We start from the raw sequence: 18247 nt of genomic DNA, 5'->3' as shown, positions 1-18247 counted from the left end.
CCACAGTCAATGAATTGGTGAGATCAGCATCTACTAACTTACAAATGGATACTGCATTAAATAATACATTTAAAGATAAGTTATGAATAATACATCCCTCAGTTCTGAACACATTTAGGGATTTCTAAATGTGAAACACAGCATATGCTAAGACTAATGCTTAGAATAACATAGGCTAATACAAAATGTGTGTGTATATATTACTATATTTGTAATATATATAAAACACATGCACATACCTACATTTAATCTTTGACCTTTGTTCTATTTGTGCTACTACACAGAATCTGTGCAGTAGTAATTTTTGTGTATAGACTGAGGCCGAATAGGCAGTTTTCTATGTAGAGAATTTGTACTTGTCAGGGACTGTTTTCTTCCTAAAATTCTACCCCTGAAAATTCAGGTGTGTTGGTTCAATGGTTGTTTTAGTTTTGTTGTTTATTTTCCCTTTTTTGTTCAAGTTAAACACAAAGCAACCTTGTGAAATAAACCCTTGAAGTTTTATCATCTCAACCTTGGTGGAATTAATTATCAGTAAACTGGGTGAGTAAATTTTTGTAGTAGGAAATATGTATATTCTTAGAGTCAAGGATATATTTAGATTATAGAATAATTATACTGATAGTTGTATGTGGCTTAGAAATTCAGTTTACATTTTGTATGTAGTTCATAAATAACTGCTTATTGGATAATGGGATTTGAAATTTAATGCTTTTTCCCTGACATTGGGGTTCTGTTGAGCCTTCATCATTGGTTGAATTGGTTGATTAATAATAGACCTCTTACCTTATCAGGCACGGTCTACATGATCAATATGGAAATAACTGACCCTGCCTCCTGTTTCTACCATCATCATCTTTTCTTGTCCTCTTTTCCTCTAAATGATGCTGTCTCACTTAGTATACTAACATTATCCTGCATGGAATAATTACTGATCTTGTTCCATAGACCACAAGTTATAAATGTCATTTTTTTCTAACTGGTGTTTTTAAGATAAGAAGAGTACAAAAAAAAAAAAAACCAGTTATCATCATAAATTTTTGCTATAAAATAACTATGTTAAAAGAAAATAAAATTAAGGAATAACTAAGAATAACTAAGGAATAACTAAGTATAAAATTAAGGAATGACTAGTTGTATGAGTGAAACTTCAGCAGGATAATAAAGTTTTATAAAAAGGAGGAGAACAGCTTTAGAACATGTGATGAGCTGGGAACGGTGAGACATCATGTTACTATTATGTTATGAGATATAATACTTGGAAATTAATATTTTCAGTTATTGTCATTTTGGCATTTTCTGTTGTCTACCTCACTTTGCTCATTTTATCATGTACCTGTTTTTGAACTTTGATCCTGGAAATTTACTGTGAGAGCTATGTAGTGCGTCATAGGGTTTTCTGCAGCTCTCAAAATAAAAAGTATCCCAATTTTCAAAGGAATAAGTGATTTTCATTCTTTGAGTGTTGTGATAATGTATATAATAGTCCTTAAGGTATTTTGATATTTTTCCCATTAGTAACTTGCAGTATATTAGTGAGCTGTGCAATATTTCCTGTATTCCTATTTTGCATATATTATTGCTTTTGTACCTGACAGTGAATGAAAATCATCATTCTTTATGTTAGGTCTGAGAACAGTAAGAGGTTTCCTTGGTGTTGATCATCATGTAAGGAATTTATCTATGTACTGGCTTTGTTTTCTCAAGAACATTATTAATAAAGCCATGCAAAATCACAGACTGGCTTTTAAATACGTTTAACAATATTCCTTGATATGCTAGAAAGTGGGCAGAATTTTCTTCCTCGTTTATATAAATGATTTTTCATGAGTAGGGTCTTCCAGGTTAATCCTACTGTTATTTTTGTTTGTACCTCATGAACATGGCAGGGGATGAACAGAGGTAGGAAAGGGAGGAAGACCGTGAAGGGAAGATGTTTCTTTTTACAAAATAAATTATTTTATTTTTTGTTCTAGACTATTTAGAGAGGTGGTCACTTCTGATAGCAAATTTCTAAGTTTTTCATTCTTAGAAAGAACACATGGTACTGTTCTTGACAATTTAATATTCCCCTTGCTCAATCTCACTTTCCCACTTCAGAAAGCTTATCTGCTAATCCAAGATTATCTTTTAACACCCAGTAGGTGTTAGGGCCACTTTTGTTTTGTTTTTTTGTTTTTAGGATGACATTGAACTAAGAGCAGGAAAACTGGTTGAAACTTTTATTTTTAGAAGGGTATGTTACCATGGAATAAGGAATAAGGGGAAAGCCACCTGTTAATGCTAGAAAATGAAATCTTAATTTAATTTAATTTAATGTAATAGCTTTTACACTAATTATTTTAGTATGTGAAAGCTGATGGGTATTTATTTCATAAATATATGTGAATTTATTTCATAAATATATAGTAGCAACTTGCTGAATCTTTGACACCATTTATTGCCTATACGAGAGCCTGAAACGATGAAGGTAAAGGTAGAAGAACTGGATTTGGTAGATAAGTGGTCAGACAAGAAGCACACATGTTTCTGCCTCTTTTCTCCTTGTGACAGGCTGGTTTAAATATAATGCAGTAACACTCTTACTTTCCCTCCGACTCCTTTCCTTAATGTTTTTCTTTCACACTTAGCACTATCCTTTCATTGTTCTCTCTTGTTTTTGATCTTTCCTTCTGGAGTTAACATTATTTAACAGACACAGTCTCCTCCTAGGGGCACAGGGAATTTCTGGAAAGAAGAGGAGCATATTTGTCTTTAATCTCACTAGTCAATACCTTTCCCAGTAAGCATTCTTTATTGGCATTTTACACATCTAGAGACTCCACCACTCCCATAAGGCTCCAGAAAAAATGTTAAAACAATTTCAGCAGGAAGGATTGAAGCATTGTACTAGAGATTCTATATATTGGGATGGGAGAAGATAAGTGTACTGTCTGAGTACTGTCTTCATTGTCCTCTGTCTAAACTCATCTCTGGATAAGCAGAAGCAAGGAATCAGATACAGGCAGTGCTCCTGGACCCTGAATATATGTTCCAAACATATTGCAAACATTAGACTATTTCTTTTCTACCCTCTGTACCCTCTTTCTAAATTGGTAATTATTTCTTCTTTACCTACTAATGTACCTCTTCTTCTTTAAGTCATCAATGTAAAAGGAAGGCAGTGCCCAAATTTTCTTTGGACCCTTAATTCCTATCTACTCACCCAAAAAGTCCTGTTGAAAGCTTCGATTATGGGCCATGCATTCAGGGCAAGATATCCTGCCAGGCTCTGAGTCCCTGCTTTTATTTATTCAGAACTAGATTTTAGAGAGAAGGATAATGGTAACAAAATGCTGAGTCAATACATTTATCTTCTCCTGTGCCAATGTATAGTATCCCTAGTACCATGCTTCCAATCTTTTCTGCTGAAATTACATTTTTTTTTCCTGAAGTCTTATTACGGTGGTGAAGATCATAGATTATAAAATGTCAATAATTGATTCTGAGAAAAAGGTATTGACCAGTGGGATGAAAGACGGATAGATTCCTTTTCTTTCCAGGAATCCCCTTGTTCTTCTAGGAAGATATCGTGGCAATGTCTATTAGCTTGCAGTTAATTGAGGTCAGCCTGGATTAGAAGTTCTATGTGTTGAGAATCCCTGTTTCAGTTACTCTGGTAGAGATAACTGAGTGATCAAAAGCTGTTCGCTCACATCTGTGCTCATATGCTGAAACTTGAAACCTGGCATATTTGATTTATGGTAGCAACGTGGCCCTGAGATAAGAATTGTATAAACATAAGGTAAATTAAGGAGAAAATAGGGCAGATGATAGGCTAATAAGATGACACGGGGTCTTTAAATTGAAACCCCATTAACTATGTTATAATTCTACATTCTAATATGAAATGGATAATAGAGGTAGTTATGTGGATAACCGAGTCCAGACTGCCTTTTCTGGGATTAGCCCTGTGAATATTTAAGCTTAGCTATTGTATTTCATAAGGCAGTCTGAAATTTGTTGTATTTCTTTTTCACTTTTATTTTATGTAATGATACACTACCATTACAGAAATTCAATGGATCAAACATGATGTGGTTATACTTAAGAGAGAAAAAAAGAAATCTGACCTACTCGAGAAGTTCTTGTGCATTTTTCTTCCAGTAAATCTTTTTACAGCTTATTATTTGGGGGACCAGGTTAAAGGAAAAGTCACTGTGTTAGGAGTCAGGAAGGCTTCACTGGAGCTGCCACTAACTAGCAATGTGGTATAGAGTAATTCATTGAAACTTTCTCCAGTTCGGTTTCTCCTCTTTAAAAAAAACAGAGGGGGGCCTTGGCTGGTCTCGGATGTCGGTCCCCCGCTATCCCCGCCTGGGGGCCGCCCCATCCCGCGCCAGGACTAGGGTCCAGTGCGGAGTGCCCCTAGTCCTGGGAAACGGGGTCTGGCCGCAAAGGCAGCTGCCCCCTTGCCCGTCACGCAATGGAAGTTCGTGGGGAACCTGGCGCTAAACCATTCGTAGACTATCTGCTTCTGGGTCGGGGTTTCCTACGTAGCAGAACAGTTCCCTCGCCGCGATCTATTGAAAGTCAGCCCTCGCAACACAAGGGTTTGTAAAACAACAACAACAACAACAAACAACAACAACAAAAAAACCAACAAAAATAAAATGAATAAATTTTTTTTAAAAAATGGAGGTATTTGGTGACCTCCAGGGTTTCTGCCAATTTCAATCTCCTGTGGTTCTTTAAAGTATATCATGGACTCCTTGGGAACAAAGATGGTTTCTTATCTGTGTTTATACTCTACTGTCACAAAACAGGTATTTAATAAATGTTGGTAGAGTAATCTCAAGAACTAAGAATACCACTACAAGTCTGGGAAAGAAATACAAAACATTTTGTATTTTGTTGTATGCTTCAGCATTTACTGTATGTAAGCATTAACTAGGTAGCATCACGTATCTGGTAGTCTTTAATATGTATTTATTTCTTTCATATTTGGCATCTATAAACTTGTTCAAAAGCTATGCTATTGGGAACCTGGGGGGATTAACATTTATTGAGCGTCTCCTAGATGTGGTCAGCATTAGGCAAGGTTTTAAATATCAAATCTTATTTACTTTTCACAGCTTCTGGTTATCCCCGTTTTTCCCAGGGGGAAATAGAGGCGCTAAGAAGGTAAGAAACTTATCTGAGGTCATAAAGCTAGAAAGTGGCAGAGCTGAGGTTACTTAGATTTGGATTCAGTTTTTTCTTGGCTCCAAAGACCATGATCTTTCCACTGTGCTAGGCTGAATCATGCTTTTTGCTGAGCAAAATATCTATTATGTTACTTTATCCTTATAACATCCCTAAGAGTTCTTTTAAAAAAAGGTGCAAGTCATTAAAAACAAAAGTTATCTTAGCTTTTGTATTCATTTCACAAACTTAATATAACATGAGCTGTGTCAATCAGAATAAGACAAATCCTGTCTCTGAGACAGAGGGATAGCTATCACTTCTTATAATGAGCACTCACAGAGATTAGCTCAATGGGGAATCTGGGAAACTTTCCAGATAGCATCAAAAGTGATCTTTCTAACATTGCATTTAAATTTTAGACAATCCATTTTGACTCCCTTTGTCCTCTTCTTAAAAGCAAGTTTTTATTAATTTTTGACAAGTTAATGCTACTCTCTATTTCCATATTATAGTGCCAGGTAATTTTAAAATCCTATGAGAAATAAACTTTAAACGTTTTGGAAATATCCCCTTCCCCCTCGTTAAATTGTTAAATAATAAATTATTTGGATTAGGCTATAATCAATTGGATTTCTGATCTCCTTGAAAATGAATTTTGCCTACTATGTTGCAGCCATATTTTTTCTTTAATATTACATGTTCTCACTTATAAGTGAGAGCTAGCCATGGGGTACATGTGAACATAAAAATGGGAACAATAGACACTGGCGACTAGTTGGGGGGAAAGAGGGAGGAGGGAAGGGCTGAAAAACTACCTATTTGGTACTATGTTTACTACCTGGGTGATGGGATCATTTGTGTCCCCAAACCTCAGCATCACACAGTGTATCAATGTAACAAACCTGTCCATGTACCCCCTGAATCTAAAATAGAGGTTGAAATTTTTGAAAGTTTTTTTAAAGAGATTATTTTTGCATTAAAATTCTCCAATTGTCAGATTGCCTACAGAACAGAATGTTGGGCATATAGAAGTAAACAGAAAAAAAAGTAGTCCTCACTGTATCATAATTATCCTGTGCTATTGAGTTGCTGTGCATAAAACCTAATCAGATTGACTGAAACTGTCAAAGAACAAAGCACAAATACCAATGATAGATGAAAAGACATATAAAGATGGATGATTCCTTTTTAGGAGCAGTGGGAGATTAAAGGGTAGGCATTACTGCAAGAATTGGTGTTAACTGTTCTTTAAAAAAAAATCATTGTTAATGATCTGGCAGACTGAACGATCAGCACATCAATGACTGAGGAAAGATGTGAGATTCAGAGTGTTACAGCATCACATTAGGCAGAGAAATCATTGAAATAAACCCTATACTAGAAGAAATTGGAAGAGCTAAATGACATGCAGCTTAGGAGGAAAACCTACTCCCTCAGAAAAGATTTTTTTAGATCATTTCTTTCTGTGGAACAAATAAAGGGTTTCAGTAGCATGTTTTGGCTAATTGAGCAGACCACTATTATTGCTGTGGTTCTGTAATCATTTTGCTAGAGAACATAGGAGAATAAATCTCTAGTGATCAGAGAATATATGAATGATGTAGAACCCTCAGGCCATTTTCATACCATTCATCATCTGTGGGATGTTGCCATATCTGGTGTTCTTGGCACACTTCAAGTATGTGAGCTATAGGGAGAAAAGTTGGAAATGGACCCAGATCTTATTGCACAGAAAAAAAAAAAAAAAAAGAAAGAAAGTGAGCCTTGAGGCATGAAATCTCCCAAGAGCTAGCCCTCACACCTGCAGGTAATTTATATCTGTATTTCCTGACTTGCTTCCTCCTATTTAACACTACTTCTTCCACTTTGCTTTTGTACTATTCCACCGGTTGCTGATTCCTCAGGTATGGAGACCTAGCTGCTCAGTTTTCACTTATTTGGCTCCTCTTTTATAGCGTTCGAATATATTCAAATTTGTTACAGGAAATATAGTTAAACCCTCTGGTCTATTGCCCTTTAACTACCTCCTATTCCTCACATTTCCATTGGAACTAAATTAACTCTCGTTGACTATCTAATCATTGACAACTGACACCATGGACTTCTTTGTTCTGAATCCAGCAAACATTTTCAGTCCTACTCTTCCTTCTTTTTCTATGACAATCAAACTTGCTGACCACCTCTTTTTTTTCCTCTAATAGTTTCCCCACTCTTACCTTTCCTCACCCTACTTGACTTTTCCTCCGTTCCTTCTCTTCCATGACTTCCTTTCTCCTCCTAGCTTCTGACAGTACTGTGTTTTCATCAAGCCCTTTTCTTACCTTATATGTTCTTGCCCACACTATTTGATCCACTGCCACACTCTATGTCTTATACATATATGACTCCAAATCTCTCTCCTGAGCTCCAGATCTAAAAATCTACATGCTTAGAAGACATGGAAAACTCAAATAATGTGATACTCTTGTTATTTCCCAATGATATAATTATTCAACTGCTTATCCAAACCAGAAACTTGGGAGTCAAATCATGTTTTTTATTCATGTCTCACATCCAACTGATAGTCAGCTCTGTCTGTCCTGCCTCTCAAATGTCATTCCTCTATGATTCTCTATCACAGAGATGCCCATTTGGGTTCAGGCTTCCATTGCTCATCCCCTGCACTATTGAAATTACCCTCAAATTAGCCCTCTAACATCCAGGTTTGTTCTTTTTAATGTATACATAAAACACATTTTAGAATTTCTGTCCAAAAATCCTCTTCTTTCATAGTTTTCTCCTGTTTATTAAAAAGTCTAAATTCTGAATTTACCACATAGGCCTTTTTTTGTCTCTCAGCCTCAGCTCTGCTCACGTCTCCTATCCCTTCACACGTACTTTAAGGTTACTTCAATTTTATCAAACTACTATATATGCCCAATGTGTCCTTCTGTTTCAACCTCACAAACTTTTTGATACCCCAGTACAATTGCTTTTATGAATGTGATCCCAATCCCACAGGGGGAGAATGAATCATTACAGCCTTATTTCCTATCTTAACCTGAATACAATATATCAGCTACAGCACTTTATTGTCATTCTTTCCTTACTGAATTCTAAGCAAAACTGGAGGATAGAATATTATCTTATTTATCTATGAGTCATCAAGGCCTAGCTCATGGTAAGAACTCAATTTTATTGAGTTGAATGAAAGAATTGATGAATGTATTAATAGACACATGCCAATTTTAATGCTTTAGAGGTATGAGGTAGCCAAAAACATGAGTTTGAAAATGACAATACAGCTGGAATTTAATTTCCATTGCTTTTATGAGCCAGTCAATTACTATACTTGTTTTCCAAACTGCGTCTGAAAACTATTTCATGAAAGGAGAAAAAGAGGACTGGAAGAAAGCTTTAGGAATATAAGAATTGATGGTGATTACCTTTCCAATATCTTTTCTGGTGATATTTGCAACATAGGTATACAGTTAATACTAATGAATGTTTAGATCACTTTTGGCATTCACTAAGTAACCTCTATTATTTATAGTAACAAAACAGGTATCACGAAGGCCCCTTGGGCAGCTTGGGGAGCCTTAACTCTCCATAAGGCTGGAAGCATAGTTCAACATTCAAGCACTAGTTGGTTCACATTCTAACACTAGCTCATCACATCTCAGAAAATCTATTCTGACAAGTTTGATTTTCTTCAGTACTATTTGCTCTGGCAGAACATGATCAGGAACCATTTTTGGCTGAATTCCCTAGTTCTCAGTGAGACAACTGACATACCTTGGCATCTCTATGGACCAAATAACACTAATCTTATTATCAGTACAATTCTAAGTGTTTTCTTTGTGTGTGTAAAAAGATCTGCTTTTTCTCCTACTGTAATATTTCTAAATCTAAAAAAAAGTATAAAATGCTTATATCACCTTATTAGTGGCATAAATGTTTGCCACTTAAAAAGGATTGCAAGCTCCTTGAAGGGTCAGTCAAGGTCTTTTTTATCTTTGTCTCTTTGGTGTATGTCATAGTTGTTCAATGAAAGTTTGCTAGGTTGAACTGATGTGTGCTTATAATTTAACATCATGTGGTATAATTTTAAAAATACCACAGAGAATGGATTCTGCTTTTACGCTGATATTTCAGGATGCATTTTTTCCTGACATCTTGGTTAACCTTTTTATTACTGCATCTAGTGAAGATTCTCAGGGGTTTTAATTTGCATCACCATCAGTGTCATCATCTTAATAATGTCACCATTGTATACTGTTTAAAAAATATAGACACATATTTTCTCTAATCCATCTAGAAAAAAATTCCATCTTATATTTTCAGAAGAATCCATAAGAACTAAGGGAGAGTGGGTAAGAGAGAGTAAATGTCACCATGGGGTAGAAGCAGTGTGCTGGCTCATCATTTTCATGGCACTCTCAAATCCAATTTGTGATGACAAATTGGATACTTTGCATCCAAATTGTTTGACCTTTGTGCAGTGGCTCCCATTATCAACTGGGGAACCAGTACAATCTTTACCTAGTTACTACTGAGGTTGTTCTCTCTCCATCACAAAATTTCATGCTATTTATCTGTGAGAAAATGCCTGAGGACTTTCACACAGTAATTCATCTTATCTGGAACCCTTAGGATCACATGTAGACCGAGCAAATGTCAAGTTCACAGAGAACACCTGTGTCTTCAGAACATTAAAGGGCACCATTAGAGCTTGTTTCCCTTCACTTAACATGCACATTTTTGGCATAAGTTGGGGCTGAATGATGTTGTCATAGCAAATACTGCTAGAATGATTGCTGTACTCATTACACTACCAAAAAAAAGAGAGAGATGAATGGGTGTGGAGTGTCACTAACCCTCCTCATGATCAGCACATGGAGAGGACAGGACAGGGTGACATTCCTGAGGAACTGGTAACCCCCAGACAGCTAATATGCTTTATGACAGATTGGTGGGTTGGCTATCTCCAAAACTTCTAAGACATAGAAATTCAGATTGAGGTCATAGGTATTCAGATTAATCTGTAACGGTCTTGGAAGATTATTATATAACATAGCAATCAATAATTATCTTTTAAACAAAGCAGTGCTGATTTCTGAAGCAGTGGACTAAGCAAGTAGATCTAAACAATCTACTTGCTTGTTTCGATTTTGCAGGTGCATTTTTGGGATGGTTCTTAATCCTGATTTACTTAACTGTTTACATAATGCTGGTGTTCTGTCATGATTTTTAATTTTTCTGGTCCCTTTACTAATTTTCACCTCTAACCTCTAGATATTAGTTCTCTATGATGCTGAGCTAGTTATCTAATAATTATTTTTTAAACAAAAAAAGTATCAACAACTCTCCTAATAAATTATTATGCATCACCCATAGGTAAATAGAGGCATAATTTAAAAATTATTATATACTTGGATTAATTGACAACATATGCTTCATTTGAATTTCTGAACATTCGAATGTACTTGTAAGAGCAGGCTTTTCTAATACTAGGCTTTTTCTGCTGCACAGGGAAATGTTTGTCTCCAGAAAAAACTTCTTAGAATAAATAACTTATTTTAGCATTTATGTTAACTGGAAATATAATTTCATAAGGTATAATATTCAGGATTTCTAACAGCTGCTACAGTTCTATACATCTGCTACACTTGGTATAACCTGTAATTTTCCTCGAGTTACAGTTTGTGAAGTTGTAATTTTGGTTATAATGTTAAGTATGGTAACAGTATAGCTTATGGTTTCATAGTAATCTCAGTGTGAGGCATTTGTTCATGTATTATTATAGAGCAAATGACAGGTAGAAACTGTAAAAATAAAGGAGAACATATCTGCTGATATAGCAACCTCAAGTCCTTTCTAACACGAATTTTCTACTGTTTGGATTCCAATTCTTGATTATGCCTGAAAAATTAATATCTATCATGAATCTTCTCAAAAGACTATTTTTTACATATGCTACAAGTTATCTGGATTTTATAGTTAATTTGTTCCTTTCTACTAAATTTGTATGTATTATTATAACATAATATATAAAGACATATTGATGTTTTCATTTTATGCATTTACTTTTAAAGATTTTAAGTATCAGACAATATAAAGAGAGACATTTAAAAAATATCTCATATTGAACTCCTGGTTCTGCCAATGACCTGACTAATGATTTTGGACTGTTAACCCTGTTAATTGTTTCACCTTAGGAATTGATAGGAAAATTTTGTAAGCAATTCTTGGTTGACAAGTACTTGGTTGAAAGACCAGATAACAAAAATATACTAGCTGCTATTATGCACATTTAATGTATTCTTCAAAGCATTGAGCTTCCACTGATTTTATAATCCATTGAAATTTCCATGATATCAGAATATATATCAACCTCATTTTCATAAATGAGTTGTCCTTTTCCTGAGCTCACACAGTAGCCTAGGATTTTCTAATTAATGGACATATATTTTCATCTTCTTATAGTACGTATTTTTGTTTCTTTGTAGCACTGCTATTTCTTTCCTCATAAATGATATTAATTGACATATAGTGACTTAAGTAAACTAAAATATTAAAAGCACATTGAAGTGACTACATTTGAAGGACTGAAGGAAATAATTTTACAATGCATTTTTATTTTAGGAGGATAGATTTTTTTAGAATGGCTAATCAACAACAACAATAAAATAATACAATATATTTTATATTCAGGAGGATTATCCAACTGAATTTCAGATAATCTTTATAAATATAATAACTTGCTCTGAAATGCTTGCTCTACAATACTCATATAAACAGTACTATTAAATCGAAATAAATAATCACATCAAGTTTGCCACTACAGGTGGACACAGTCAACAATATTATTAGATGTAAAATCTCTCGTCTCCTATGGCTTACATGAATTTTTTTCTGTTTATTCATGTTAATCCCCTTAATGAACAATTATTTCTCTGCCTCCTGTTTGAATGTTGGTATTCCTGGGTTTCTGTCCTGGACCTTCTTTTAAATCTATCAACCTCTCTGGGTTTCCATAATATCAACTGTCAGCTAATCATAATTTACCAATACATCTCAAATTGTCCTAAGCTGAACTCACTGACTGTAACTACCATCCATGTATTTGTTCAAGTTAAAAATTGGGAGTTATTCTTGATTCCTCCTCCTCTCACACCACCTACACCTATTTAGTCATAAAGTCCTGTCAATACTCCATTCTAAAAATGGATTGTAACTTTCTACTTAGTTCCTCACCCTCTGTTAGTGTCTTAGTTCAGGTTTTCATCATTTTTCACAGCTTTCTAATTCATCTCCTTGCATCCAGTCATACTTCATTCAAATCTCTTCTACATGTGAATCTACCTGAAATGCAGATATGATGATCACTCCTCTACCTAAACATCTTATATAGTTTCCCTTACCTAAAAGCTAAAGAAAAGAAATTTTAATAATTAATACTTATCTCTGCCACTTGAGAGACATTTCTTTGAGGTTTGGAATTATGTTTTTTTTTTCTTTTTTCTTTTTTTTTTTTAGATTTCCATTGTTGCCACATAGTGTTGCCACATAGTAACTGCTGAATATGATTTTGCTGAGTACATGAAAGAAGAGAAAGGATGGCATTAAACTAAATGATTAAATATCTCTAAAGTAACATTTTTTGCTGATGCTTACTGACACATTACTTACAAGTAAACATCATTTAAAAATTACCTATTACTATTAGTTGAGATGTGTGAACATCTCTCTACTTGTTTAATGAGTCAAATGTAAAGTCCTTATAATAAACTCCAAGATCCTCACCCAGTCAAATGCCTCTCTTCCTTGCTCACTTCACTCCAACCATTTGGTCTCCAGGTAGCCCCGGAACACCCAAGGTCTCTGTACTTAATGACTAGATCGCCTGCATCTCAAATAGATGAATGAGTCACTCCCTTTGGGTTGTCAACCAAGTATCATTTCCTCCTATTTAAAACAACTACCCTTTCCTTCCTCTTTTATGCATTATTATTTTTTTTCACAATTTTTATCCAATGTTTTATATATTTTGCTTTTATCCTACTTTAATATTCATTTCCCAGAGTTAGAATTATATGTGTTTTGAGGGAAGAAACTTTTGTCTCTGCTCACTGTTGTATCTCTAGAATTGAAAAAAGATAATATTTATTGCATAAATAAACAAATGAATGGGCACAGCCTCGATATTTATCCTTTAAAAAGTATACTCTTAAAAATAAAACCCCTGGCCAGGTGCAGTGGCTCCCAGTACTTTGGGAGTCCAGGGTGAAATGATCACTTGAGCTTAAGATTTTGATACTAGCCTGGGCAACATGGAGACCTTGTCTCTACCAAAAATTTTTTTAAAAAGCTGCCACCACGCCCGGCTAAGTTTTGTATTTTTAGTAGAGACGGGGTTTCACCATGTTGGCCAGGCTGATCTCAAACTCCTGACCTCATGATTTGCCCGCCTCAGCCTTCCAAAGTGCTGGGGTTACAGGTGTCGCTACTTGGGAGTCTGAGGCAGGAGAATTGCTTGAAACTGAAGGGAGAGATTGCAGTGAGCCGAGATCGCGCCACTGCACTCCAGCCTGGGCAACAAGAGCAAAACTCTGTCTCAAAAAAAAAAAGCTGGGTGTGGTGGAGGATCTCTTGAGCCCAGGAGGTTGAGGTTGCAGTGAGCCATGGTCATGCCACTGTACTCCAGCCTGAGTAATAGAGAGATACTCTGTCTCAAAATAAGATAAAATAAAATAAAATAAATCCCCAAATTATGTAAAACAATTATAATTGAGACTATCTCTACTAAGGTCTAATATCTCTAATAGAAATAAGGTCATGCCTAAAGAGGTTAGAAGATGCAAATTCAGTAGCCATACTGTTAACATAATTGCTCTAATTCTGTATCCATGTTTTATTAAAGCATTGTTTTTGTCAAAAAAGAAAAGCAAGAAAAGTTGTCTAGTTCTAGTTTTCAGAAAGGAGAAAGTGAAAGCATAACTTGAATTAAAATTCTAATGTTGGCTACTAAATAGGGAATATAGAATAATGTACTGGACAGTTTCTTTGTAAAATGCAGACGCATGCTTCAGCTATGGATTTTTTTTTAAAGCAAATGTTGATAAAAGCTATAAGAATAACATTAAAGCTCAATACAGTGAAAGCATTTCTGTGATGTACTCAGCTGATGTGGTTCAGGTCTATTGCCTAATTTGATTGAAAGATTGAATTTTGAGTACTGAGGGAGGTGAACTGATAGCATTTCTTGGGCTTTTTAAATTTTCCTTATATTTCTGCTTCTCTTGTCAAAGCTTCTGATAGGGTTTTTGGAATTGTGTGTCAAAAAGTTCTCCGAGTTAGAATTTACTGATTCACATTAAAAAACAAGTAAACTTTCTCCTATATTCTTTACTTTCTCCCTGATCCCCAACTTCAAAATTAAAAAAAAATACCAACATCTACAAGAGCAACAACTTCAAAGGAACTTAACTTTAAATAACGCATATAAATATAAAGTCATTCCAAACTCCTTAGCTTCAGTTTTGGTCCCTTCTGAATCATTCTCAACATTATATTTTGACAACAGTAAATATGATGATGTTATATGCAATTCTTAAGAAATCTAGTGACTTGCAGCATATTTTTAAATCATAGTTTTACTTAATTTGACTATATATATAGATACTCTATATGCAGAGCACTATGCTATACATATCTATATATTCATATGGGTAAGGAACTTGTACTTGGTATCAGCAAGGAATAGGACAGTCTAGCAGAGGTAATATGCACAGATAATTCAATACAGGTGAATATTAGATTGGGCTATGCGGAGCTATCAGTATTCATAAAATACAGTGAGCACTTCTAACTGGTGACCTCAATAAGGGCTTCTTGAAATAAGTGATTTCTGAACGGGGCCTTCCAAGAGTTCCTAGTATAGACATAGGTGGGCATATTTCAGGCAGTAAGAAGGCCAGAAGAAATAGCATTGCCAAGAGATATGTCAACATGATCAAATGGTAAGCAGGGAACTGCAAATAGATATATTTTATTAGACTGGAGTGCATCTGAAGCAAATGGTAGGAGGCAAGACTGATATGGTAGGTTGGGGGTCAAATTGTAAACAGTATTTAATATTACATGAAAGAGATTTACTTATTATACAGCCACTAGAGAGTCAGTTTTTGCATCTGAGTAGGAGGGTGGTGATGTGGTTAAATAAGTTCGTTTGAGAAAGATTAGGTGTAAGGAGAACAGAACACACGGCCATTCTTGTAATTTATTTGTAGGTTATTAGTAAAGACCTGAATTTGGATGATGGCATTGAAGGAGTGGAAAGGATAATATAAATGTGTTAATGGAGGGTAGGAGATTGAAATGATGACAATACCCAGGAACCAGAAAGGGAGAGCCTAAGACACTAGAGAGTATAGGCACTGGACACTAGAAGATGTGATAGATCATAAACCAACATAGAAGTATTGCAAGAAGGAATATCAGCTTCTTGAGGGCAACCAGAACATTTTATTGGGCATTGTATCCTCATCACTTACAAGTGTGAGGCACATAAAAGGCACTTGATTTGTGCTTGTTGAATGACTGAATAAATGATTGCTTGGCAAATGATTGCTTGGCAAATGATTACACAGAATAAGCTCCAGTGTGGTTAAAGAAAGTGATCCCGGTTGCCCTGGCAACCAGGCAAAGGATAGTACAGGATGGTAAAGGATAGGAAACTAGTCCATTGGCACTAGTTAGGTAATTAAAAGCACTGGTTTGGCTGCAGTTCTAACAATGTGTCAGCTTATTTTTCCTTTTAAGAAGCAGTATAGGCCGGGCGCGGTGGCTCACGCCTGTAGTCTCAGCACGTTGGAAGGCCGAGGCAGGCGGATCTCTTGAGGTAAGGCATTTGAGACCAGCCTGGCCAACATGGGGAAACCTGGTCTCTATTAAAAATACAAAAATTAGCTAGGTGTGGTAGCGCAAGCCTGTAATCCCAGCTATTAGGGAGGCTGAGTGAGGCAGAATTGCTTGAACCCGGGAGGCAGAGGTTGCGGTGAGCTGAGATCGCACCACTGCACTCCAGCCTGGGCGACAGAGTGAGACTTCGTCCAAAAAAAACAAAAAGAAACACTATACAGTAAAAGTTACTTATGCAGATTCTAGAAGTGGGCTACTTGGGTTTGAATCTGAGTTCCACCATTTAGGATCTGTCTGTACCTCAGTATTCTTCTCTTTAAAATGGGGAAAATAATAGTACTAACTTCATAGGGTTGTTGTGAGGATTAAATGAGTTACAATATGTAGTTAGAACAGTGCTCGGCACATATTAGGCACTATGTGTGTTATAAGTAGTAGAAGTGAACTATGTCTACTGCACTCAACTTTTATTTACATCGTGTATTGGTACAGTATACAGTAATGGTTTTCAGGTGAATTTTTTCTGACCAAGTATTGATACATAGATAATAATCTGATTTGGGGAACTCTTCAAAAATTTCCTCAAAAATTGATGGGAGAGAAGCATCGAGATTTGTGTTGCATAACTGTGCTATGAGCCACAGTTTGATGGAAGATGTGCACATGTGGAAATATGGTTAAGACCTGAGATATAATGCTTTTGAATGCTGGAAAGCACCCTCACATAACACTTTGCCTCAGAGAGAAAGCCTTATACAAATAGAACTTGATTTCAAAATAGCTCAAAATTCAAGAGGACTTGAAGATCATATATTTGAAAGCAATGATCTCTAAAATTAAAATCAGTCGGTTTCCTTCAATTTATTTTTGTTAAAATAGTTCTTTTAAGAATTTCGAGTTTCCAAAATCCTCCTGGAAAAAAATAGCTGTTATCTTTGTTCCTTTAGGCATTGGTAAAAGTACTGTAAAATAATTCAAGTAAAAATGAAGGTGCTTTATTTAGTTCAAAGGAATTTCAAAAGCCAGCCATTCTGAATCACTTCAGATTCCATGGTGTGCTGAAAATTAAATAGAAAATGTCATTATGCAGTACCAAAACCTTAGTTGTTTTAATATACAGCTGAAAAGCTTGTATGTTAGTAACTGAGAGCCAAGGATTCAGTGTGGTCTGATAGGGGAGCTAATTGAACTGAGAACACATAAAAAAAGGAAAATTGCTTTTGTTGACATCAAAGACATTTTATTATTTGGCTTCTTTTACACAGGATATTATATAATGAAGCTAGAAGCCTTAAACATGATACAGATTCAATTTGAATAATGTTCTGTTAACTACCTTTGAATTTCAAGTGAAAAATTGTAACTGTAGAAATTACATCAATAACATCTGTCTGATGCTTAATACCTGGCAGTATGTGAGGCAAACATAAAAGAAATCTGTAGAGAGTATTTTTACCTGATTTGTGATATCTTCTCATTAACTATAGCAGGACCTCCACAAATCCCACCCATATTCTTTTTTTCCTCCTCTTAAATTTTGTAAAACAAACTCATACTTTGGAAATCAACCCGTTAAATATGATTTTATTGGAGGCGAAATGGGCTATTGAGGAAAGTAGGCAAATTTACTTTACTTGATTTCTTTCTAAGGATAGTTTTCATATGTCAGTTACCTCTGCATAGGTAACCCTTGTTCTGGAAACAAACAAAAAAAAAGCAATGAAGCACAATATAAAAAATGTCAGTTCTGGAGTCAAAGTAGAGGACTTAAATCTTGGCTGATAACCAGTTGCTAGTTGTGTGTCCATGGGCAAGTTGTATATTTTTTCTAGGCCTCAGGTTCTCACATATAAAGTGGAAACAAACCTTGTGGGAAAATGGTGAAGATTTCATGAGCTAAAATATGAAATGTACATGACCTACCTCATTTTACTGGAAAAGAAGGCAGACAAATTATGCATGGCCATAAACCATTTTATATACACCGTGTTTTTGTTAGAACTCAGATTTCTAGAATTCTGAGATTAAAAAGTAATTGCTAAAGTTATTGTTACTATTGATAAAGACTGGAATTAGAATGCCATTATTGCATGGGGATAAGCATGTTTTGTGGCCCAATAAAAGAGGCTGCTCAAAATGACCTCTGATCTGTCCTTCTTGATTCAGGATTTTATGATCT

General features: G+C 35.3%; 2 protein-coding genes across 9 annotated transcripts in view; one reads left to right on the top strand and one right to left on the bottom strand.

Moving 5' to 3' along the window:
• CTNNA3 (catenin alpha 3) overlaps positions 1 to 18247 on the top strand; it is a 1851072-nt gene that overhangs the window by 713544 nt on the left and 1119281 nt on the right. The window lies entirely within an intron of this gene.
• LRRTM3 (leucine rich repeat transmembrane neuronal 3) overlaps positions 1 to 18247 on the bottom strand; it is a 175516-nt gene that overhangs the window by 51501 nt on the left and 105768 nt on the right. The window lies entirely within an intron of this gene.

The sequence above is a fragment of the Homo sapiens genome, chromosome 10 (assembly GCF_000001405.40).
Source record: "Homo sapiens chromosome 10, GRCh38.p14 Primary Assembly".
Taxonomy (NCBI): domain Eukaryota; kingdom Metazoa; phylum Chordata; class Mammalia; order Primates; family Hominidae; genus Homo; species Homo sapiens.
This window is presented reverse-complemented; position numbering and strand designations above follow the sequence as displayed.